Source organism: Homo sapiens, chromosome 9, assembly GCF_000001405.40.
Source record: "Homo sapiens chromosome 9, GRCh38.p14 Primary Assembly".
NCBI classification, from domain to species: domain Eukaryota; kingdom Metazoa; phylum Chordata; class Mammalia; order Primates; family Hominidae; genus Homo; species Homo sapiens.
Window position 1 is genome coordinate 77713990 of NC_000009.12, and position 25862 is coordinate 77739851.

At 39.4% G+C, this 25862-nt stretch overlaps 1 protein-coding gene across 3 annotated transcripts in view; it reads right to left on the reverse strand.

Moving 5' to 3' along the window:
- Positions 2108-25862, reverse strand: part of GNAQ (G protein subunit alpha q) — a 315715-nt gene continuing 291960 nt past the window's right edge. For all 3 annotated transcript variants that reach the window (NM_002072.5, XM_047423239.1, XM_047423240.1), the window contains exons 6-7: positions 14525-14678; positions 2108-7524 (exon numbers count right to left, since the gene is read on the reverse strand). In NM_002072.5, coding sequence (NP_002063.2) covers positions 7334-7524; positions 14525-14678 — 345 coding nt within the window. In that variant the 3' untranslated portion in view covers positions 2108-7333. The remainder of the gene's footprint in view (positions 7525-14524; positions 14679-25862) is intronic.

Consider the following 25862-nt stretch of genomic DNA (forward strand, 5'->3'; position numbering starts at 1 on the left):
ATGCTATAACCCCTGACATGGCACCTGTACTTCAGGCATGACTGGCTGGTGCCCTGACTGGACAGTAGGTTGGCAGGCAGTGCCAGGATTCCTAACAGATATGCCCTCCTAGGTGAGGTCTGCCTCAGGGCAGACACAGTCTTAGCAGCAGCTACGTTAGCGTCCTGGCAGCTGGACACAGTGTGGAATCTCCATTTGCAGACCTTGTCTCTTCCTGGTCCTTTTAAGATGCTTTTAAGACCCAACATAAAAGCACACGGAGCAAACTGGAAACAGATGGAGAGTCCCCAGGGCCCTTTAAGCAGTCTATCTCTGTGGGACAGGCCTAGTCTCCTGAGTTGCAAAAACATCTCTAGGGCTACGAAAGGGCTGAAACCTGGGAGCCCTGCCTTCCAGCTCTCTGTTAGTATGGTTCAGTGTGATTACTCTTAATTAAAGAGGGTAAGTTGCCTTATTTTATCCACAGGCTTATGAGACAGAAAAATATTCTGGCCTTTGCATTCTTGAGGAAAACAGGAAGAGAGAAAAATCAACAGAGATCAAATTCCAATAGTCTTGAGGCATAAGAATTCAAAGGGAAAATAATCTTTTCAGTACTCTCTATGCATCTTAGATTTTAAAGAGACCTACATTTTATAACCAGGGTCTTGTTTTGCAGGAATCTACGGGACTCCCTTAAAACAGACTGGATATAGCTCCTTGTAATAGCTGGATCCATGTTTTAGTCAGCCATGACAATGAAACAAAAAAAAATAACGATAATGCGTAATTTAAAACAAATCAGCCAGAAAGCCACTTCTAACCACTGCCTTTCACTCTCCACCCCTGATCAAATTTCAATAAGAGCTTCAAATATGGAGAAACTCATGAGTATGATAATCATTTGAAATTAGACAAAAAAGCAAGAAACTGGCTAGTTTACCATCTGAAATTGCTCTGCACACATTATGCAGTGTACCTGGTTGTTCCTTAGCATCAAGTTCCACCTTTTTGCTATGGCTTAATTGTCTCTCAAGAGGCAGGACTCAGGGCATCACAACCTGAGAGAAAAATGTGAGAAGGCAGGAAAGATGGGGAGTAAAGCAGAGAAGCTTTCAAGCCAACTGTTTTGTTACCATTTCCAGAAAGACAGGACAGAAGACAATCTGATGGCATAGGCTTGCTCTATGAGCCAAAAGGTCAAGTTAAATATTTGGCCCAATGACTGTTTAGTGAGTTTGTGTTTTTTCCTCTGGGTGGGGGTCTTTGGAATGATGGTACAAATAGATCATGGTCCTAAAGGGGTCAAACTCAGGTTAGAAGGCCAAAGAGAGGGGAGTGCTCCTGTATAGCTTAACACTCCAGTGTCTCTGCAGAACTAGGGTGTGGGAACCATCACTCCAGGCCTGTGCTAGATGACAGTCAGTGCCACGCCATTCCTTGAACAGTTAAGACAGAGAGAGAGAATACCATCTACTGGAAATGGTCTCTAAATCACACAAGGAGAGCTGAAGGCCTTTAAGCAAAAATGACACTCTCATCTCTTAGTATTTAGAGGGGACATATTCTGAAAAACAAAAATCCATAAGCAAGGGCTGGCTGCCAGTTGGAGTAACAGGAACAGGTTTTGCTTTTGCTGTGGCTTAAAGTCCCCACAAAAGTACCTATTTTCCAGAAAGCCACTTGCCACCATCACCTCCACTTAATAAAACTCCCAGGAGCAGCTGATTTTTAGCTGACCTCAAAAGCCTGGATGTGTTTCTAAAACTCAGAGAGGACACCTGTGACATGTCATTTTTCCCATGTGGAGTCTACCTATTCACTGCCAGTGTTGAAATGGGCAAAACTCTTAAGCCAGCCATTGGCCTGAGTCCAGTGTGCTACCCAGTAAACCAGGGCAGATGTGTGGATTCTTTTTACTGATTGGGAGACTGCCTCAGGTTGAAGATTGCTGGCTCCTTTCTTTATTGGATAGGTATTTACTTTTTTTTTTAACCAGTTAATTATAACCTAAATTAAGGCAAGTTTTTTCAAAGAGCAAATTTGATAAATGCTACCAATATGTGTATTTCCACTACAGGAGACTCTTATTTCTGATTATACACAGAAGGGAAAAGGTTTTTTGGTGTTTTTTTTTTTTTGAAACCATTAAACTTGTTTATTTTGGAAAATGCAATATGCACAAGGTGTGTTAAGGAAGGAAAGATGTATTTCAGTACTCCTACTAATACAAAACATTCTGAGAGGGGCTCGGGCAACTTTAATGGAAGCAAAACTCAACAATGAAGAATACTATAGTACAAAATTATGGCCAAAAATACTGTATTTTTAACCAGCAAGATCATTGGGGCATTATTATACAACATTAGGTGTTTTTTGCAAAACTAGTTCCCATCCCCAAACAATAGACAGTACATGCATTTGAATGACATTTTAGGAACAGTAAATATTCTTTTAAATACTGCAAGTTAAAAATGTTTTCTGACAAAACTCCCTAAATACATAGGTCTAGTAAGGGTTTCCAACAGGATGATGGGTGAGGAATCCAGCAAGGAGTTGCATTTAGAGAGTTCTTTGAGGAAAAGAAATCCACCAAAAACGTGTTTCAGTCAAAGTAACCTGGACAAAGTTACGTAGTATTATTCCAGCTTTCTTTCCTGAACTTAAAAATGTTCTACCAACGAATACCTTTCTGTTTTTTCTGTCTACCAAAAGCTTATATAAAAGTCAGAATTTCTTTATCCAAGATCTGATTTTACCCAATAGATGTTTTCATAACATGTAAATGTCATTTGCTATATTGGGTTGGAATCATACGGGGAAATGGAGGACACAGGGTAGATAAGGAAGGCAAGGAGGAAATTAATATTTGAGCACCTACTATGTGCTAGGTGTGTATTCATACTTTGAACATATGATTCTAGAGGCAAGAGTGTTATTGAAAGGGCAGTGATCATTGGGAAGACAGCAGGAAATGGCTATTCTGTGAGAAAAACAAATGACAAGTTTAGGGTCTGTACTAAGTTATCTACTAAACAGCAGGTGTCTGGCTCCAAAAATCTCTAGCTAATCATATACAACTAAGCCATTTCTTTTCCTAATTTGATGGAACCAAAATGAAATCCCAAAGACACAGTTACCAGGACAGATCTATTAACGCTACATATGCTGGAAATATGTAGAGATAGATAAACATACAATATTACTAGTTTTATTTTTTTGTGTTTCTAACCAAAGATATATCTTTGGAAGAAAATATTAATGTATACCAAGCACACCTTATTTGTATCAATTGAGATGTTGATTACCAATTAAGTGGTTTTAAACCCTTATTTAATTTGAAGAAGAGCAGCAATATACATTACAATATTTGGGTACACTTTATTTTTATATGGGTTAACATTCTGCTATATTTCATTTCATTCGTTTTGAGAAACTGAAAACAAAGGGAAATCAAGGGTAATCGGTAGGTGATTTGAGGGAAATTTCCAACCAATATGTGAGTCTTGCAGTATTTCATTATACAGCCCTTTCTTCCCATTATTTATTTTTTTGCAAATAAGTCATTTTGACCCAAATCCAGCATAAATAGCTTTTCACCAATTCCTAACTTAAGACAACTAAAATTTACAATCATGTGGCAGTATAAATTTTAAAATTACAGTTCGTACACTTTGACAATCAAGATAGTCTGAAGTACAAAAAAGTAAATTGCCCTTTAGCTGAATTACCTTTTTAAAATAGGCCTGCTAGTTAATCTACCAAAAAAAAAAAAATACAAGTTTTACGTGTTCTTCAGATTCCTTTTGTAGTTGTCATCTGCTAGTAAACAACATATGCAGGTTCTTAAAATTTTTTTTTCCAGTCTATTCATGACATTCAACAGAGCTCTTTATATGGAAATGTTAAAAACAAAAACTTCTAGGAGATTTATTTACTTTTGAATGGGTGTGTTATTTCCCTTTGTTTCAGATATGAGGCACAAACTTCTGAATTTAAGCTCTGTAAGGCATAGTAGAAACTTCCAATTTACAAATAAGGAATTCTCTGGGGGTTAGAACTGCCATGTCACGCAAAAAGGGAAAAATCATCTGTAAACTGGTACACTGCAATGTGTTAAGTGAGTCATGAAATGGCTGCTTGCCTTGGTATGCTGAAGAAAGGTTTCTGTGTTTTATGTTTTTGTTTTTGAATAAGACATGCCCAAGTCACCATAAAACTCACCACAGGCCTCCATTACCTAAGCATCAACAATAGGAGGCCAGTGGCACACGCTTATAACGCTTGCAATCACAATATAATATAAAGCATGAGTAAACTTTGTTTTTATACAAAACTGAAAAGAATCCCGTCCCGCCCCTAGCCCCTTCAATAAAACCCCGAAGAAACAAAAAAGAAAATCCTTTAGCTTCGATTGACTGGTGTGGCTAAAATTAGGTTTCTATGCATCACTGCTGCTAGGGTGATCAATTTTTTCCTTTCTCAAGAGAAGGGATCTTGTCATGCACCCTACAGGAACAGCGAAGCCACAAACCTCAATTCTGCATAGCAAATTCCATCCCAATTTCATAAAGACAAATATAACAATCTTTCCCTGTTTTGCTCAGCTTCTTCAAGCTTTGAGATCAGGTTTAATTGACTACATTTACTATAGCTCTATTAAATAGAATATCTTGATTCCCTAAAACTGTAACACTTATGATCTTGTGATGAGGTTTTCTCTATACACACTGTAGGCCTTCAAATGTTGTTGTTTAATTTTTTTTTTTTTTTTTTTTTTTTTTGCTGCACCAAATTTAAGAACGCCCTTTCAGGCAAGCAGTGGTCTCTAGCTGTTAAAACATTTCCTTAGTGGATCACAATAGCTTCTAAAACTGCCTTTCTAGTAAAGGCCATCAGAGAGGTAATACTAAACTGTGCATTTGCCAAATAAGAATATGAATTGTATAAAAGCTCATATTCCAATCCTAGATCAAATGGCAAAAGTTCTACAAAGTTGGTTTCCATGTTTGTATAAAAGCTCCGACTGATTTTATGTATTTTGCTATGAAATTACCTTTGGGTCTTATAATCAGTATACCTCTACTCAGGAATGTGCAAATGATTTTATACAGCACGACGCTAGTACCGCTCTGTATGACAGTAAGGTTTTTTTTTTTTCTTCTTTTCTAAATGGAAAGAAAATATCCCTAGTCAGAAATAAACTGACAAATTTACATTCTCCTCTCTTAAAAAAGTAAATAAAATAACATTATTCAAAACGTGAATTAGCTATAGACATACAATACAATTACATAGATACATATCAATACAGCACATTCAATCTGCCAAAAAATTAATGATTACAAAGCCAGTATGGATGCTGCAATATCAAGAGAGATGTATGTACAATGATTAGAGCATTTGTAATTGCACTATACCTACAGGCAGTCTGTTTGTTAAATTACAGGTACTTTCTGAGCAAGGGAAAAAAAAAGTAAGCTGTGTTGTTTGAGGCTGGGAGAATCAAGGATGAGAACATCTCATTACTGTTGGGCGGCTTTGGTACTCATTTAACAGGCCGTGATTTTTCTCCCTCCCCCTTTGTTGTTCCAAAAGAGTGATTTATATGGAAGTTTACACTAGTGCCAAATACCACTGTAGTTAAAATGAGACCAGTATCATGGCCTAATTCTAACGTCCCAGCAGCTTTGAACAATCATGATTTATTTTCTTAAATCAAATTTCAACTCAAGCTGCTTGACAGAAGCTTGTCAATACATGTGCTGTATTTTTTTTGCATTTGTTGAAAAATTGCACATATAGAATTCCAAACATTTCTCCTGGTAGGTTCAGTTACACAAATACATGTTCTATAGAACACTGAGAGGTTACTTTTGAGTTAAGTCCACAAATCTTCCATAAGTTCAACCTAATCAGTTACCAGTTCAAGAAGATCATGAAGGTGGTAAACTAGCAGGAACTTCAGATTTTGGAAATTAAAGGTGTCGGAATAATACTACCAACCAATGTTCCTGGCAGACTTCATTGAACTTAAAGAACCACTGAGAGTAAAACTGGTTTCAAATAAAGAGACATAAACAGATTTCCTGTTAAACCACACAGGATACTTTTTACATTGCCGGTTTGGACACTGAACATGGGACGTGAACACTAACAATGTCATCTTAAGGACAAAGAAAAGAATGGACCGTGAGAATCAAATTTCTAGTTACAACTGTTTGGCAAATGGCATTTCTGGTTCATTCTCAGCCAGTCATTTTAGGCTTCACAGTCTTACTCTCTTACATTTTAAGATACCAGCTTTTATTTTTTAAGTTCGTATTCATTTTATTTGACAAAAAGCCAGCTTTGGCAACACATACCCATAATAAAAGTCATTTTAAAATCGTGGCCCAAACACCAAGAAAAAAAAGAAAGGAAAAGCTTGAACAACAACAACAAAAAAATTAAGAACAACCTATAAAAAGGTTCTGGGTAGCAGCCATTAGGGTAATGTAGTGTCTGTTGGCATCTTTTTTGGCATCTGCAATTGAAAGAGAGGGTAAGAAAAAGAAGCAAAGAAGGGAGGAAAGACAATGGCACGTGGCATTTCAAAAGAAAGGACTCCTGTGTGTCTTTGATCCTGCCTTCTGCATATTTCTCTGAGCAATCAAGCTATGGCTGAAGGTAAACATCTAAAAGAAATGACACTTAACTTTTAGATGGGCATCCACTGTCCCAGTCCAAAGTGAGACAAGACAGTATATTCTATTAAAAAAGAAACTATGTGTGTATCCAAAGCAACACATTTAAAACCGTAAGTATTAATACATATAATCCTTCAGCAAAAACTACAAACTTAAATTAAGCTGATGATGGCTTAAATCGAACGATGTGTCCTGACTGTATCATTTGAGAGAAAAACTTGACCAAGAATGGAACTAGGATAAAGGCCATTGTAACCTGGGAAAAACATCAGGAGGGAGGTATGAATTAGCGGGGGAAGAAAAAAGGGAAATCAGCTTTGTTTTGCTCCATAGAAAAGAAAAAGAGAGAGAGACAGAAAGAAACAAGTCTTATCTTTGTGAGTGCATGACTGAGAATTTAAAATACACTGAGTCACAAGGTTTTGCCTAAAAAAAAGATAGAGAGGAAATGTGCTGGGACTGTACTTCAGCATCCTCTGTTTTTCCTCTGAATAGTTTAAATAAAATCATAATATTTACTACAAACTCTGTGGACACGCTCACACAGAGTCCAGGACGGCAATAAATTAGTATTATGCAAATTGTTTTCCACAGAAATACAGTCCCTCTTGTGTATCTTCAATAGCCCACCAGGGAAGGGCAGGGCGGGTGTCTAGGAGGCACAATTAGACCAGATTGTACTCCTTCAGGTTCAACTGGAGGATGGTGTCCTTGACGGCAGCAAAGACAAAGCGGATATTCTCGGTGTCTGTGGCGCACGTGAAGTGGGAGTAGATAATTTTGTCACTGTCTGGGTTCAGGTCCACGAACATCTTCAGAATGAATTCTCGGGCTGCCTGGGCATCTCTCTGGGGTCCTTTCGGCCAAGAGACAAGAGGGACACTTTGTTACCTAATCTGCTAATGTATTCAATCATCATTGGTTCAATAAATACTGTGTCATTGCTCATGAAGCCTACATCTGCACTGCAGATTTGATCTGTTATAATCATTTTCCCTAACACTGCTATGTCTGACCATCCATCCACCCACCCAGGCACCCACCCATTCACAAAATGTGGATAGGTGAAAGCAGACAGATGACTTGAAAGCCAAGGCTAAGTTTATTTCTTAGCTTGGCCTTCACTCTGATTCCCTGAGTGATTGGGAGCCACTGTAGGCTCTTCATCAGGGGAGTGATAGCTTACTTCTGTTCAACTGAGTTAAGTATGCTTGTTTCAGCTATATAATAAGTGTGCACAAAGATACAGCTGCCTCGGGCTCTCCTGTCAATCTGTCCTCCAAACGACCCAATATTATGGATCATTTTACATCTTCCAGACTGACATCTCTCTTAGAACACCTGTTTGTAAGGTCAGGTCTATCTACAATGGGCCTCTGTAACAGTCTCACTTCCATAGATTTCTGGTATTTCTGAGCACACTACATTTGTGTAGCATTCAGTTCATGTGTGATGATAAAACAATTGGTTTATATTTTCTTTTCTTTTTTTTTTTTTGAGATGGAGTCTCATTCTGTTGCCCAGGTAAGAGTGCAGTGATAAGATCTCAGCTCACTGCAACCTCTGCCTCCCAGGTTCAAGCGATTCTCTTGCCTCAGCCTCCTGAGCAGCTGGGATTACTGGTGCCTGCCATCATGCTTGGCTAATTTTTATATTTTTAGTAGAGACAAGGTTTTGCCATGTTGGCCAGGCTGTTCTCAAACTCCTAATCTCAGGTGATCCACCCGCCTTGGCCTCCCAAAGTGCTGGGATTACAGGTGTGAGCCACTGTGCCCAACCTATATTTTCTTACATTGATTTAAGAAGGAGTCTCTTATGTACCAAGAATTCTCCTAGATGCTTTGAAAAAGGATTGTGACATATCTAGCAAGATAAACTAAAAATGTAATTTTGCAATGGATTCTTAGATATGACACCACAGCACAGGTCATATTTTTCACAAAAGAAAAAATAAATTGGACTTCATCAAAATTAAAAACTTTATGTATCTAAGGACTTTTTTTTTTTTTTTTTTTTTGAGACAGGGTCTTGCTCTGCTACCCAGGCTACAGTGTAGTGGAATGATCATGGCTCACTGCAGCCTCAACCTTCTGGGTTCAAGTGATCCTCTTGCCTCAGCCTCCTGAATAGCTGAAACTATAGGTGCCACCAAGCCTGGCTAATTTTTAAACTTTTTGTAAAGATGGGGGTATCACTATGTTGTCTTGAACTTCTGGCCTCAAGCAGTCCTCCCACTTCAGCCTCCCAAAGTGCTGGGATTATAAGCATGAGCTACCACACCTGGCCAAGGCCATTATTAAGAAAGTGAAAAGCCAATCTATAGAATGGGAGAAAATATTTACAAATCATGTCATCTGATAGGCGTTTAGTGTCCAGAATATATAAAGAGCTCCTACAATTCAATAACAAAAAACCCAATTAAAAAATAGGCAAAAGACTTGAACAGACATTTTTCTAAAGAAGATATACAAATGGTCAATAAGCACAGGAAAAGATGCTCAATAATGGTAATCATTTAGAAAAATGCATATCAAAACCACAGTGACAGACCTCTCCACATCTACTAGCATGGCTATAAAATTAACAAGGGTTTGGGAAAATATGGAGAGATTTGTACTCTTGTGCACTGTTGGGAATGTACAAAGGTGCAGCTGCTGTGAAAACAGTTTGGTGGTTCCTCAAAAAGCTAAACATAGAATAACCATATGACCGACCCTGCTAGTCTACTCCAATGTATATATCTAAAGGAATTGAGAGCAGGGGCTCTGATAGACACTTGATCTTAGTCAAAAGGGCAAGAAGCAATGTACATCAATTTTAATAGCAGCATTGTTAACAACAGCTAAAAGGCGAAAACAATCCAAGTGTCCATCAACAGATACATGGAGAAACAAAACCAAACCAAACAGAATATCAGAATATCAGAAACAAAAAGAATATTATTCAGCCATAAAAAAGAGTAAAGCTCTGACAGATGCTGTAATATGCATGAACTGTGAGAACATTATAATAAATAAACCCAACATAAAATAACAAATATTGTATGCTTGCACACATATGACGTACTTAGAATTGGTAAACTCATAAAGACAGAAAGTAGATTAGAGGTTTCCAAGGGTTAGGGGGAGGAAGGAAATGGGGTGTTGCTGCTTAATTGGGGTGGTGAAAATATTTTGAAAATACTGGTGATGGCTGCACAGTATTGTGAGTGTAATTAATGCCTTTTATGAATTGTGCACTTAAAAATGTTAAAATGGCAAATTTTATAATTAAAAAAAGTACTATATCAAAACCCACTGAATTGTACACTTTAAATAAGTGAATTACATGGTATATAAATAATCTCAATAAAGCTGTTTTAAAAGTGTATTTAATAGGTACCGATAGATATATTAACTTAAAACTTACTGTAAATAACATCAAAACACCATCACCTTTCAAGTATTGGATACGTATCATATATCTGTCTTTGTGTTGCTTTATATATGCATTTCCTCCTATTTTTTCAAGTTAGTTCTATACCAAGCAATAAGAAACTTTTTTTTTTCCTTGAGACAGAGTTTCACTGTGTTGCCCAGGCTGGAGTGCAGTGCCATGATCTTGGCTCACTGCAACCTCCACCTCCTGGGTTCAAGCGAAATCTCCTGCCTCAGCCTCGTGGGTAGCTGGGACTACAGGCGTGCACCACCATGCCCAGCTAATTTTTGTATTTTTAGAAGAGAAGAGACAGGGTTTTGCCATGTTGACCAGGCTGGTCTTCAACTCCTGGCCTCAAGGGATCCGCCCACCTTGGCCTCCCAAAGTGCTGAGATTACAGGCGTGAGCCACCACACCCAGCAGGTTTTTTTCTATCATCAATATTCTTGTTACCTACTAGTAGGGATAAAGAGATCTTGCAGAACTCTATTGAGGGCTTGACCACCATTTCTAACAAAATGCACCCTGAGCTTCAGACAGCTGACTTGAATTATTCTCAAACCAACCTTTTTATAAATTGGAGATTACTCCAATAAACTTATATCTGATAATGCCAGAAGATGGGAGGAAAGAATTATAAAAACAAATAGACTATCCTCATTTGTACAATTTAAAAAAGTAATGTTGAATTTTTGATGTAGGTGCCCAGAATTCAATTTTTTTAATGACTAAGAGGGCTGGCATCATATTTAATAGATAAAAAGTACAATTAAAAACAATATGTAAAGTATATATACAAGCAAATATATATATAATTAATGTTCCATCTTTTTCAATGTACTATTAACTCCAGAGAAGTAATAAAAACTATTCAAAACCAGAAAGTAACAGATTACCAGAGCTGGAGAAGTCTCTCATTTCATAAAAAGAACATTATATTTCTGGCTTCTGAATGAACTTCTGTATGATTTTGTACTTACTCTATTTGGGAAGGAAGGGACTATACCTTTTTTTTTTCTTTTTTATTTACCCTACAGAATATAAGAACTAGATCCAAGTTCACTGAAGTGTACTTGAAAAGTGTTATGTTTTTAAGCATAAATTGTTATCTGAATAAACATACACTACAAAGAACTCATTACAGCCATCACAGCAGGAGCAGAATTCCACAGTCTCTATGAACAATCTTGCAATTCAAGTCCATGTGGAAAGGGTAATTTCCTTTCTTGAAGAGAAATACAGAAATGGCATTCATTATGATTAAGACCTTGTAAGTATAGAAATGTGGAAGTGTGAAATTTATAATACTATAAACATGCTTATTACAAAAACATCACTGCAGAGTGGGCCTCAATTTTTTCAGTGTTTGCTCATCTTACAAGGGCTTGGAGTTTCACGTAATGACTGCTGCGCTGGCTTTGTAATAACAAAATCAATGTCTTTTTTCTTTTTCTGTGGCCAAGTTTCCTCTGTGCATTATATGTATACTGGGGTAAGGTAACAGTAAAAAAAAAAAAAAAAAAAAAAAAAAGTCTTCAGATTTCAGAATATTCACAATGGGCACATGCTGGAAGGAAAATGCTTGTAGTGGTGGGGAATCTGGGGAAATTATTGGAGAAAGGAGGTACGTGAAGAGATTAGGAAGATGGTGCAGAGATCAAAAAACAGCACTGCAAGCACTGATCACAAACTAAGTCTTTTATTGCGGAAAAATCAGCAACTGTGAAGTGTGGCTAGGTATGCTGCATCTGAGAAGTTTGAATGAACCCCTCAGAAGGGTTCACCTCCGTGGGCACCATGCTCTATCTGTTCTGCATCCTCCCTTATGCAAGCACATCATGAAAACGTGCCAGCCCACAAGATGGGGTGTTGTGTATGGTGTGGCAATTTCTCACACGCTGATTCTTACCAAGTTCCAAGAAAAATTAAGAAGAACCTCGAGTGTGTGTGTGTGTGTGGCAGGCAAGCGTGTTTAGATCTAAGCCAGATGTTTCATGCCTACTGTATTCAGGTAGATGTGTTTGAAGCTTGAGGTGGGAAAGCAAGTTAACTACCCACACAGTCACTTCCTTCCATAGTTTTCTGAGCAACACTGAGAAGTGCAGTCTCAGGCATTGATGATTTGTTTCCGGGCTAGTGCAAATTAAAAGGAGTGAAAGAGAAAACACTGTTTAGACTGAGAAAGTGTTTTTCAAAGAACAGCAAAGCACAAAGGAAAATGTACTTGAAGAGAGGATATGAACACAATGCTAACAAAAGGTACCATTTCTAACATCTGGTGACATCCACAAATGTTTATATTTTCAATTCACCAACCTTCAGGATCTTACATGTATTTGAGAAGGGAACTTCAATTCATTTAACATGTAACATTTCCCTTTCATGAGCCAGGACTGTACCACATTCCATGTGGGATGAAAAGATGACTAAACCTCCATCCCTGATGTGTTTGTATCATCATAGAAAGCTATGAAGCTAAATTTAATCTTGGTTTTTAAAGTAATTACTTTTCTGAGGAAGCTTTTAGTAAGTACAAAAACACTGTGGAATGATATCCATCCTGGATATCATATGTTGACAATGTAATTTTAAAAATAGTCTCTTCTCTTGTTGTTATATCACCTCTATGGTAGATACTTTTGGGTTTCTGCTATGTGATATATGTATGATTCCATTCAATTCTTTCTTGCCCAGGGATAAACTGAGTAGCTAAATAAATTTGTCTGAGGCAACACAGACAGTGAGTGGCAAAGTGGAACTTTTCAGAGCTTGTGCTCTTAACTATCTAGACCACGGCTTGGCAAACTTTCTCTGTAAAGGGCCACAGAGTAATTGAGGCTTTGCAAACAATTCTATCTCTGTCACAATTATCCAATTCTGCTGTTATGGTGTGAAAGCAGCCATAGACAGTGTATAATGAATGGGTGTGGCTATGTCTCAATAAAACTTTATTCATAAAACCAGGTGGTGGGCCATAAGGGAGAGATGTGATTATCTTGCCAAATAAATAAACTTTTTTTTTTTTTTTTTTGAGACAGGGTCTCCCATCACCCAGGCAGGAGTATAGTGGCAGGATCATGGCTCATTGCAGTCTTGACCTCTTGCCAACTCCTGCCTCATTTTTTATAGATAGAGGTCTCGTTACATTGCCCAGGCTGGGCTTGAACTCCTGTGCTCAAGTGATCCTCTCACCTCAGTCTCCCAAAGTGCTGGGATTACAGGTGTGAATCACCACACCTGGCCACATAGACTCTTATAGGGCAGCAGTCGTGACTCTCACTTGTTTTACATAGTGGCTACATGTGGATGCATTTTGTTACCAATCACCAAGTGTTCAAGTGTTTCTCAGAATGGGTTGGGTGTCTAGTTGTCCAGGATTTCACAGTCTAGTTGGGGAGGGTAAGATCCTTTTCTAAGAACAAAGCAAATAATGCAGAGCCATAGGAGTAGTGAAGTGGATGCTATAGATTCTAAGTGCTGCACAAAGAGCTTAACACTGGGTTACTATTAGTAATGGTGGTGGGACTTCATTGGGCTATGAAGTTTCAAAAAAGGAAGTATTTCCTGAGTATTCATAAGTGTCCTACGTGTCAGGCATCATGCTAAACGTACACATATGTTATATACTACAGTGCACAAAACAATCCTATGAGTTTGGTCGTAAGGCCCAGAAAAATCAAGTGACTTGATGGTAGTTCTACAAATAGGAAGTGTCAGAACTGGGATCTCAACCTTGATAGACTGATTTCAGTGGTGGGCTCTTAACTTCAAAATTGTGTTCCTCCCCAGAGAGAGGAGAGGCAGAGGTGGACGGTAACCAAATGAAAGGGAGACACAGAGGGGACTATAAGAGTTAATACACAATTGGTCAAAACTACTGGATTGTTCCTTTTTCTGATCTGCTATTTCAAAGCAGATGAGTTTCTTTTCTTTTTTTTTTAGACAGAGTCTTGCTCTGTTGCCAGGCTGGAGTGCAGTGGCGCGATCTTGGCTCACTGCAACCTCCGCCTCCCGGGTTCAAGCAATTCTCCTGCCTCAGCCTCCCGAGAAGCTGGGACTACAGGTGCCTGCCACCACGCCCAGCTAATTTTTATATTTTTAGTAGAAACGGGGTTTCACCATGTTGACCAGGATGGTCTCGATCGCTTGACCTCGTGATCCGCCTGCCTCGGCCTCCCAAAGTGCTGGGATTACAGGCGCTCGCCACTGTGCCCAGCCATGAGTTTCTTTTTCTATGACTTTTAGCATTGTTAAGGAATGCAATGTTTTGTGTCACTAAAAGACAGGGCAAACAAGAATTCCTACTGTATCAGTTTCAACACGCAGGCTGCACAGGGCAAGGGCAGCAATGGTGCACTGTAGTGCGTTAACTCCCACACTGGGGTTTGGAGACAAAACCTATTCACAGCTACTGAGCTGTGGTATGAGTGCTGACTTACCATCATATTCTGGGAAGTAGTCGACTAGATGGGAATACATGATTTTCTCCTCTAGAAGATCTTTCTTGTTTAAGAACAGAATAACCGAGGAGTTCTGGAACCAGGGGTATGTGATAATTGTTCTAAAGAGAGCCTTGCTTTCCTCCATTCGGTTCTGGAAAAAAAAAAAAAATCAGAAAAAACAAGGAGTGAATTACATGATTACTTAATTTGTGAATTGTGTTTATTTTATAAGTCCAACCCATCTTTTGTATACGACCAGTTTTTGTAGCCCTGTGTTGGATTTGTCAGGATTTATATGCAAATGATTCATGACACACATTGGCTGTTTTCATTATGCAAACTCTCAGGCTGACAAGCAGAAGAGAGTAATAATAATAAAAATCAGCTAAAATAGCTCTTACGGTTGAAAGAGAAAATAATTGAAAGCCTAGAGAATCATGTTGTGAATCTGGAACACTGTCATAAATTCCCATCAAAAATCATTCATTAATGACTAAATATTTGAGATCTGAACTAAGGACTAGATATGGCTTCATTTTGTATTTCTTAAGCTATATTTATTTGGGGCCTCACAATTAACTCTATTCTAAGCAATCAAAACAGTTACTTCTTTGTCAAAAGCATATCTATATTTCTAGATGTTTTCTAGAGTTATTACTCTACACACACACATACACACACCCTTTATAAACACATGGAAAATGTTGTAAGATCAAACATTTCCTGTTCATGAGTGCATGCTTTCTCCCTATGTTTCACTATACTATTAATATAGAATTGTGAAGACACACATAGTAATTATGTGGAGATAAAAATGTAATATTTCTCACTTTCAGCATCTGTGAGTAAGTGTTCTCACCTGAAGCTACACTTTCAAGCCTACCTTGGTAACAGAAACCCTAAATGGATTCTGAAGAAAATTAGTCAGCTTGCTACTATAAATGAAGATGCTATTTGAGGCTGTTCCTGAGTTAAATCATTCCTCTGAAAAAAAAAACATATCAGCCAAAAACTAGAGGGCCTCAGAGCTTCTTTCGTCTCTCCTTACCATTCTTTCTCCCATAGACTCACCTCTCTAAATCATTCCTACACTTGGGTTACAGATGAAGGCAGCAGATTTGGGAATTCTCCTTCCCATGAGGAGATAAAAGCCAGGATGTATGGGCATGCTTCATCCTGCACACACTTTCCAACCTCCCTTCTTAGTTCTCCATGTTATGACTGGGTTTGTGGCAATGGAAAGGGCTGCCTGGGATTGTGCCCACCTCTGCTGCTACGGGGTGGTTTGGTGGCGTACACCAGAGCATCCTAGTTTCCTGCCATGTGAGCTGGCTTGGGGCTGGGCTCTGATCCAGGCCCCAAATCACCTGGAGCTTCCCTTCCCTCATTTATGGTAATTAGTTTAGCCAAGCAATTCAACTAGGCCAATTAACTTGAGCACTTTTGCTGGGAACTCTGGAACAGAGAACCTTGCTTTCATGCAGAGTGTGGAAAAGGAATCATGGAGCTTTTAGCAGCCATCTTGAAAAGTGAGTGAAAAACAAATTGGGTCCTGCTCACCTGGTTTTTAACCTCTTGCTCCAACCAGGGCTAAGCTTGGTCATGCCTTTAGATTTGTCAGGAACATCAGTCAAAAGAACCTTTTGTTTTTTCAACTAGTTGGGGCTGTACTTTTCTGGTTTTTATTATACAAAATACTCTCAGTTGGTAAACCTGGATATATCCTCCCTCCAAACTTATACAAGGAAGTGAATGAGAATGACTGAATAGACTGGCTATGAACACCTTCTGCTCAGCTTTTGCCTGCCTGCGGTAGGATGCTCCTGGAATTTCACAGTGAAGAGTTACAAAGGCCATGTATTGCTCCTCTGCATAACCCTTAACTGGTGTTCTGGAAACCTCCAGGGAACTCAGCTTTTACCAAGTACAATAATCTGGATCCTGAATATGTCTTCTTTTTTTCTTCTGTAAAGTGTGCCAATTCAAATCAAGTCATAAGGCACACTTTTCCAAAGCAGATCTTTGCCAAATCAGCCAAAAGTCCATTGTCCCCAATCTCTTCAACCTGTTAATTTTGTGCCAACAATTGCATAGATAATTAAAATTAATAAAATATGCGGGCTGATATAATGAAAGATAACTTCATAGCTCAAAAGACAGTGTTTATCTCACTGCATACATTTCTCTTTTATATAAATGACAGCACAGACTTTAACATACCTTTATTGTCTATAGGCCTTTTACTAGTTCTCATAGCCAGTGATAAGATTTTAAGCCCTGGAAATAACACTGAGAAATGATATCTTGTAGCTTGAGATTTTATAGGCTGAATGTTTCAGGACTGAAGACAAAGGCTTTAATAAGAACTGAAATAATTAAAAAAAAATTTAAAGAAAGTTAATTAGATAGTGACATCCCTGATGGGAGAGTGGTGTTTTTCTTTTTAACCCCTTACTTATAACTAGAGAAATTCTAGAAAGTCATGCTGTGGTCTTCAGAGGAGCCCCATCTAAAGAGGTATGTTCACCTGGGCATCAACCCAGCAAGTCTCTATTAGAAAGCCTTATTATATTTAGCATTCTTGAGAAGGGGCGTGATGGGCTCCAAGGGAAGGGGTCCTAGTAGAGCCTTTTCTGGCTGGAGACTTTCAAGGGGAAGTGACTAGACTATGTGCAGAGACAGGGAGGGGAAGTGACTAGACTATGCGCAGAGACAGGGAGGGTGAGCCTGACTTTGCATTGATATAGAAGAAGGTGTACCATGTCTCTCTGATTAACAATTTCCAGACTGGACTGGAGCCCGACTGAGCCCAGCATTGTGTTCCAGAGACAACTTGCCCAGGGTGCTGCCCATCTGCACCCAGTACTGCTGCACTGGGGCTGCTCTGGAGGCAGGTCCTGCTGAAGCTCACCCATGCATGCAGTCTGGGGCTGCTCAAGGACATACCTCCATTCACCAGGTGCCATGTGGACTGAAGCCTGCGCTTCTAGCTCAGGGGAAAGCTAAAATGGGCAGATGACTGGCAGATGAGATCAACTTTCAACCAGGCCTGCCAAATTGAATCTCTGAGGGGACACTCCAGGAATCTGCTTCTTACAAGCCCTCCAGGTGATTTGAATGCACACTCAACTTTGTGAAGCACTGTTAGTGTAGCTATGAATCACATGGGGTCGTCTTAAAACAAGGCTTCTACTTCAGCATGGGGTGGAGCCCGAGGGTCTGCATTTCTAACAAGACCGCATTGAGCTGGAAGGTACAGAAAGCTTGCCAAGCCCAGGACAACAAGGGAGGTGATGCTCTATCCCATTTTCATGATAAGAAGTGCAAGTCAAAACATACAGCCGAGAGTTTGATTCTGTGCAGACTTCTTTTTTTCCCCCCAATTAAGATTCTTTATGCTATGCTATATGATGTTTTCCATAGTAAAAATTCCTTATGCCTTTATTTTTCCTTTATGGAAGAACAGTTACAAACCGACATGCTCTGTTATCAAGCCCCGGACTAAATCCTAAATGGACTAAATGAGATTTTCACAATGACTCATAAGGTAGTGGAACGTGCAGAGTGTGAGGCATAATCCACTTTGCTCAGTAAAAATTGAAATCTATGAGGGAACAGCACGTCCCAGGAGACTTTGTGGCACCTGCTTTGCAGTAATCTGCCAGAGCATGACGTTTCAAGAGGGATCAATGTACGAGCCACGTGTATGACCCATAATATAAAACAAGGAGGTTTTGTTTACTCTGAAGACAGGTTTAAAGGCAGTCTGGGGGGTGGTGGTAATCACGCCCTCTTTTTGGGGTTTTGACCAGTTGGGAAATGTACAAAGAGGATACTAGTAAAGGTCCCCCTCCCTGCCCACCCCCACCGAGATGGTGTCTCACTCTTGCCCAGGCTGGAGTGCAGTTGCGTGATCTCAGCTCACTGCAACCTCTGCCTCCTGAGTTCAAGCGATTCTCCTGCCTCAGCCTCCCTAGTGGCTGGGACTACAGGTGTCCGCCACCACACCTGGCTAATTTTTGTATTTTTAGTAGAGACAGTGTTTCACCATGTTGGCCAGGCTGGTAATGAACTCCTGACCTCAAGTGATCTGCCTGCCTTGGCCTCCCAAAGTGCTGGGATTACAGGCGTGAGCCACCGCACCCGGCAGGATACTAGTAAAGGTTTTACTACCCCTAACACAGGGCTCCTTGTTAACAGGTTGGGCCTAGACTCTGTGTGAGGCTCTAGGAGGCTTCCAACTGCCAGTTGTCCTCACCCACCACTTCTCCTGAGCTGGAAACAACTGTCCCTCTCAATGAAGGGTGGCTTTGGTGCAGGTGAGAGAGCTGGATCAGGGAGAGCAGGGACAGGGTGGGCTGCCAGAAGTAGGTCCTGCCTGGGCTCCACTTCCACAGAGAAGGGAGGACCAAAGAGGCCACAAAGGCTGAGGACAGGCTGTAAGCTAGTGACCATGGTGTGTGTCCTGGTTGGTCTCTGCTTCAGGTACATGAAGCCATGGAAATGTCAGACTCGCCTAGACCACACTGATAGGTAAGTCATTCCTTCTATGGGCTGGAACCAGCCAAAGGGTAGAACACTAAACTGGGAAACATTCACTCCAATCCTTGGCCCTGAGGGAGAAAGATGGGTACCTGCTCCCTGCTTTGTAATTGCAAGCAGGATGGTGTGATCCCTGAGTGTTCTACCCTGACCAGTTATCTGTGAAAGCCCTGTTTGAGCCATCAGCAAAGGGTCTTATACCTCTAATATTTATTTAACATCTCAAATCAATTCTCAAGATCTCCGATATCCTGAACACATTGCTTTTTAATGCATTTCCCTGTTAACATGTAATTGACTAAGGCTGCCTACAGGGTGAAGCTACAAATTCTGGCCTGGCATTCACAGCTTGGCACTGTCTTTAATCTGAGCCCCTACACAAATGGTCTTTTTTCCTGATAAACAGATTCCATGTCACCACTGCCACATGACTGCATGTTCCTGACTTGTGGCCCACAATGCTGTCCCCACTTCTTATCCTTCAATATCCAGGTCAACCCAACTTCCCCAAGCAGTTCTTTCCCAAGCCCCATTGGACTTGCTCCTTCCTCCCATCCCCAGCACAGGATGTCCTATCCCTAGTTTGCCAACGGTTCAGTGGACACATAAGAGAGCTTCTGAGATGCTGGGCATGAGCATGCTGCAGACACAGCCCTTGTCCTGGAAGACTGAAGAAGACAAGCATGCAATGCATCATCACAGGCCCACATGGTAGGCCCAAAGCAGTGATAAGTAGGAGATGCTGGGGTGACACAGAAGGAAAGGTTTGCTGTGCAGTAGATCAGGGAAGGTTTAAAAGGAAAGGTAGTTTCAAACTGAAATCTTTATAGATGAATCAGAGCTTGCAAGGAGGAAAAGAGAGCAAACATTCCTCTGATTAAGGAGAAGGCTGGATCCAGTGGACATGGCCCAAGACCCCAGCTGGAAGCTAGCTTTCTTCAGGCTACTGTCTGGCACAAATCTCCGCATAACAATTACCAAAGGGCCTAAAGGGACAATATTTCGTGTCTACACTTTGCATCCCTGCTGTCATCGAAGTCAACATTTACTCAGCAGGCTGGCTTTCCTTATCCCCCTCCACCATATTGGTGCTTCCCTCTGTCAAAAGTCAGCATTAAACTAGAGATTTGAGTATCCATTTTAATAACTTTTGCAACTCCTCATTATCTTGCCTCATTATCATTATCTTGCCAATAAGAACATATTCTCACAAAACGCACTTCTTTTCTTAGCAAAGACAAATTTAGACTAAGATCCTCAATTCTTTTACCTGATACAAGTTATCCACCTGTCTCTCCCGGGTGGTATTTTTTTCTCCCATCAATACATTGATAAACCATATTGAATTACATTTCCCATAAAGTCTAAAATACATCCTTAAATGCAAACAAGACAGTTAAGAAATAAATAAGCATGCAGAATGTCATGAGGGCATTCATAACAATCATCACTGAGGGCCTGACAGTCATCTATGCATCTATGAGCTGTTCTCAGCTGACCTGAGGTAGGATGGACCCCAGAGAAACTGTGATAAAACTTTCCAGGGTGCAGATGCTCTTGAGTCTCAGGGAGACACAGAAGGTGTTGAGTGACCTTGAGTGATCTACAGACTCACTAATTGATGCCAGGAGCCAGTCAGGTGACTGTGATTCTGTGATGATAATTTCTGTGTTCACGATTCTGGGATTCTGTGTCCCCTAAGCTTTCTGCTAAAAAAGAAGGCCAGAGCCATCATGCCCTTTACTTAAATGAGTGAAGTCCAGATATACAGACACAGAATGAATACATGAGCATGTCTATAAAGTCGACTGCTCAGTAAAAGGGGAAAACACACAGTTTATGTTGCTTTATGATATTTTTAACACAGATCTTCAAAGTTACAGGTTAAGACAACATCTGCTGGGTACACCTACCCTCTAAATTTTTATACCAAGTAGCTCACAGGGCCTCATTCCATACACTGTACATGACGAAACACGCTGATACCAGGTACCATTTTTATTGGCACCACTTCTGCTTATGAAATTGATAAGAAAAAAAGACTGTCAGAATATAGGAATTTTATGCTCCAGAATTCATACAAGACCGTTTTAAATAACACTCTTCACTCTCTTTTTTAAATAAGACATTCCAAACCTATACTCTTCACTTTTAATTGCTATAACAGCTTCACTATTTCTTCTAAGACATAACTCACTAAAGAACACCTTACAGATTACTTTATTAAAGGTCATTATTACTTTTAAAAAGCAAGACCAGTTGATTTACTTTCTATGTAATGACCCATAATGTAAAATTTGAATCAATATTATCATTTGTAGCTTACCAAATGTTGAAGAATTTGAAAAATCTGAACATACTCTCTCAGGTATTTATCTCATTTGTCTGTGTCTACTGGGTAAATAAATGCAACAACCCAGAAGACAAATAACTCCAAAGCTGTATGAAAAAAAATTTGCAAGCCTAGTCTTCTGCATATTTCTTTCCTCCCTTGATTGTTTAGGGAAAAGCTTGCTGTGTCTGACTTTGTATCTCCAGCAGGATCACATTGTTATGTGTCCTATCTGATGTCAACGCTTTGAGAATTCAAAACACATTCTGGGCCAAACTCCTGTTGTTGGGGCGGGAGGTGGGAAGAGGAAAAAAGTACAGGAATTCACATGAATCTGCTGTATGGAAATGTGCTCCAGACGATCTGGCAGGGAGAGTACGCTGACATGGCAATGTGGCCCAGTGGTGACAGGCCAGGGCTGTGAGCTAGGGACCTCAGTGGAAACATGGCTCTGTTTCAAATACTCTCCGTGTCCTTGGGCAAGTGGCTAAATATCTCTGAGCCTTGGTCTCCTCATGTATCTCCCATGGTTTGTGAGGATAGATGAGACAATGCATCCAAGCCCCTAGCTGTGGCCTGAGCACACAGTAGCCTTCTATCACTGATGGCAAAATTGCTACATAAGAACCTCCTGGTTAGGCAATTTGCTCCTCTCAAATCTCTGACCAAACTAAACCCAGTGAAATATTTCCGTTCCCTGGAACTGCACCTAGTTAATTTATCCACGTTATCAAATCCAGGCACATCTGATTTATAGAAAACTGGAAAGTCATCCAGGTTTCTGCCAATTTTCCTTACGTAGAGAATGTTTCTTCCTAAGATTCTCCACCCGTTAAAGGGGAGGATCTTCAAAATCTCTAAAGATGCTCAATACGCTCAACCCCAGAGCAAACCAAGAAAACAACAGATACAATATACAAATGGAGTAGGTGGAGTGAGAAATAATTAAAGACAGGTTCCTAGCCATTGCACTTTTGCTATCCAAATCACACAGCCGGGATAGAAATAAGAACGTCAAACTCAGCTGAATAGATATTATTTCCTTGATAATTTTCTTAGTCTAGGCAAATCTTTGCAAGCAATTATTTGAGATCAAATTTGGCGAAGGTTTTAATGTTATAGTTTCTGCATATGCATCAATGTATTCTACCTGCATAGGATGTTTAGAGAAGAAAAGAAATAGAACATATTTGCCTATTACCTCCAGGTCTAAGGTTACTAAGCAATAAGTCGCGGTCACATGTCAGGCCCTTGTAAAGTGAACTGCTGCAAATCAGAGTGTGTTGTAGGAGAAAAGTGTAGGAGGAAAAAAGGAAGACAGAATGAGAGACTGGGGATCAAGGAGAGACAAAGGAGAGTAGAGAGCCAGAACGTGAGTGACAGGTAACAGGACAAATGTGTAACCCTTTCCGATGTGGAAGCCCACAGTCCTAGAACTTACAGAGGTAGGACTAACAGAGATGAACGGATTAATATTTCCTAGTATTTCAGTTAAGTGACCAACCACCTCCTTTCAAAGTCTACTGCACAGCACACTGATCTATTTACCAATTATCCTATGTGCCATACTTTACGCTTATTTTTTTACTTTATGCTTAGATGTCAGGGATCCGAAGTCTATCCTTAACTTACATGCAGTCTATCCTTAACTCTTTCCTTTCCTTTTCTCATAAGGGTTACTTACTGAGCTGAGAGTCAGGTATTTAACGGTTTGTGTATTCATGACACTGACTTTTCAATTCACTGAACTTTCCTCCTTCCAGTACTCTCTCTACACCCATTATTCTGTGCTATCATCTCGTGGCAGTGCCACTAACAGCTCAAGAGAGATCACCTTCTCGTTGCTCTCTGATGTAATGTCTGATGGCCAAAGCAACTGCCACCACTGCCTTTTAAAAACTGCTCTATTGCACTGCAAACTCAAATCCTATGTGTTGTCACTGTCATTGTAAGTGATGTTGTAAGTGACGTTTCCCTCTACTAAGTATCTAGGAGATGGGTAATTGCCATTAGCTGGTGTAACAGGCATTCCTTCCAGCCTGAATCTCATGATGATCAATGCTTCCTACTTTACAAACTTGTCTAAGTTGATGGCTATAATTTGTTTCCCACAAGCTATTGGAAAAGACATTCCTTTTTTTTGCATAATTAGGATACAGATTTACCTTCACACTTTAGTCAGAACAATAACTTATTCAGCATCCCAACGTATTCCAACTCCTTGGGTTATGTCCCCATTCACATAAAACAATATTTCAGCAATAATCAACAGAGCAGCCTTGGGATATTGCACCAAACCAGTCATCAAAAGAGCCAAGGAGACAACTAGACAGACCTATAGTAAGTGGCTACTTGAATGGGTGGACTCTAATTTTGAACTTCAATGGACCCATTAGCACTGTGTCAAGAGCACAAAGGTACAACTTGGCTGAACAGGCATCTGTTCCCATTGCATCCTAGGTCATTTGCTTATAGAAATAGCTCATTTGCTCAGGTCCGCTTAGTATCTCTTTGCCAGATTTAGCCAGAAGCAGACACAAATGAACTTATAACAGACAACACAGATTATTCCTGTAGACAGTAGTGACTCTTCTTTTTTTTGAGTATCACTAGTGAGGCACAGTGAGCATTTAATGTTGGCTCCAGGGCACAAGTGAAGGCCAAAAGAATGCATTTGTAACCTATCTGTTTGGAATTGTGAAGAACAGTAAACAGAGGACGTGGTGGTGTGGTCATTTTAAATTTAATGTAAATATACCATAGTCAGTTTTTATTCAATTTGTAACATGTAGAATGTATTTGCATGTATACACGGTTGTGTGCAAACACCTGCAAGAGTGCTTTCCAATTCAATAGTGCTCCACTCCCTAAGAATGTGAGTTTCTGAAGTTCTGATACTACTTGAATGTTAATAGCACGCTACAAACCACACACACACACACACTCAACTATGGAGAGTAAATTTTAATTGGCTTTTCCCAAGCTATACTTGTATTCATTTCTACATTAAAAAATTATTTGAAATAATTCAATTTTTTTCTATCATAAAATTAATATGTGGTCATGATAGAACACTTTAAAAATAACAGTAGGAAAAGAAAAAAGTTCCCATAGTTGAATTGCCCACATAAAACTATTGTATTTTTGTTAATTTTTGTTTTCTTCCAGTCTTTGAGCTATGCATAATTTTGGAGGTTATTTTATGGCAGTATATCCAAAATAACTTTGAGATAATGAAAAGCCATTTTTGTACCATTGTTGTCTCACTCAGAAGCCACTAGCTACATGTGGCTACTGAGCACTTAAAATGTGGCTAATGCAACTGAAAAAATGAGTTTTAAATTTATTTAACTTCAACTAACTAAAACTAAAATTTAAAGTTACATGGGGTCTGCAGCTACTATATTAGTGCAGTTTTAAAGGACTGTGAACCCTAGATGTAAAATCTTATGTTCTATATTTTGCTCTCAACATTCTAGTCTAAGCATTTTTTTTTTGTCAAATTCTTAAGTTATAGTGGGCTTAACTGTACTTCTACTGTGAAATACTTAGTTTTTTTGTGTACTATTATAAATAACACTACAATTTATAACCTTGTACACAGGAATTTTCATGGTTGAAATTTTCTATGTAACAGCCTATGAAAGCATATTGCAAATTTTAAGGCTCTTGGTTACAGGCTACCAAATAACTTTCCGCAGGGGGTGAACAAACTTATTCATCTCGTAGTGATGTGTGAACTTACTCGTTTGATTGTTTCCTCTTAAGCGGGAGAGCTACCCTTTTAGAATCTTTTTCATATCAAATTACATGTGGCATGAAATGACACATCAAGGTGAAAAAATGATAGCTTGCTGTCTTGGTTGGAATTTCTTTGAACAGCAGTGAGGCTGAAGATTTTCCAACAGATTACTTACTAACATGTAGTATTTTCTCTTTTCGAGAATTGTCTGCTCCTGTCTTTTTGTCCATGAAAATCAGTCTGCTCAGGTTTTTTTGCTCTTAATGTTTTGTTATAAATTTGTATGCAGTCTTTATATACTGAAGTCATTAACCATGATTTTAATGTTTCTTACTAACTTGTCATTTTGAATTTTGAGTGTTTCAAAGAAGTTATTAAGAGAATGTTTGAAATAAGATTAAAACAGCTTTGATATTTCTAAGATTGACCTTTCCTAACTTAGAAAACAGTTCTACTTTTACAAAAATCAAATGTCAGTTTCCCAATGGGTGTTTTCCTTAAAGTCAGCTCAGTTTATGGCACCACCTAACTTGCTGAATATAAGCCACTGCCCATCCTGAAATAGCATTTTGCAAACTGTAGGAGAGTTGTTCGCAGGAGCAAAGTGTGTTTGGATGTCAGCTTCCTTTATTGCACTTGTCCACTTTCTGATCTTACAGTTGATGAACAGTGACTTGGCCAAATTACAGGAGATTTTGGATAAAGAGAAATGGAACTAC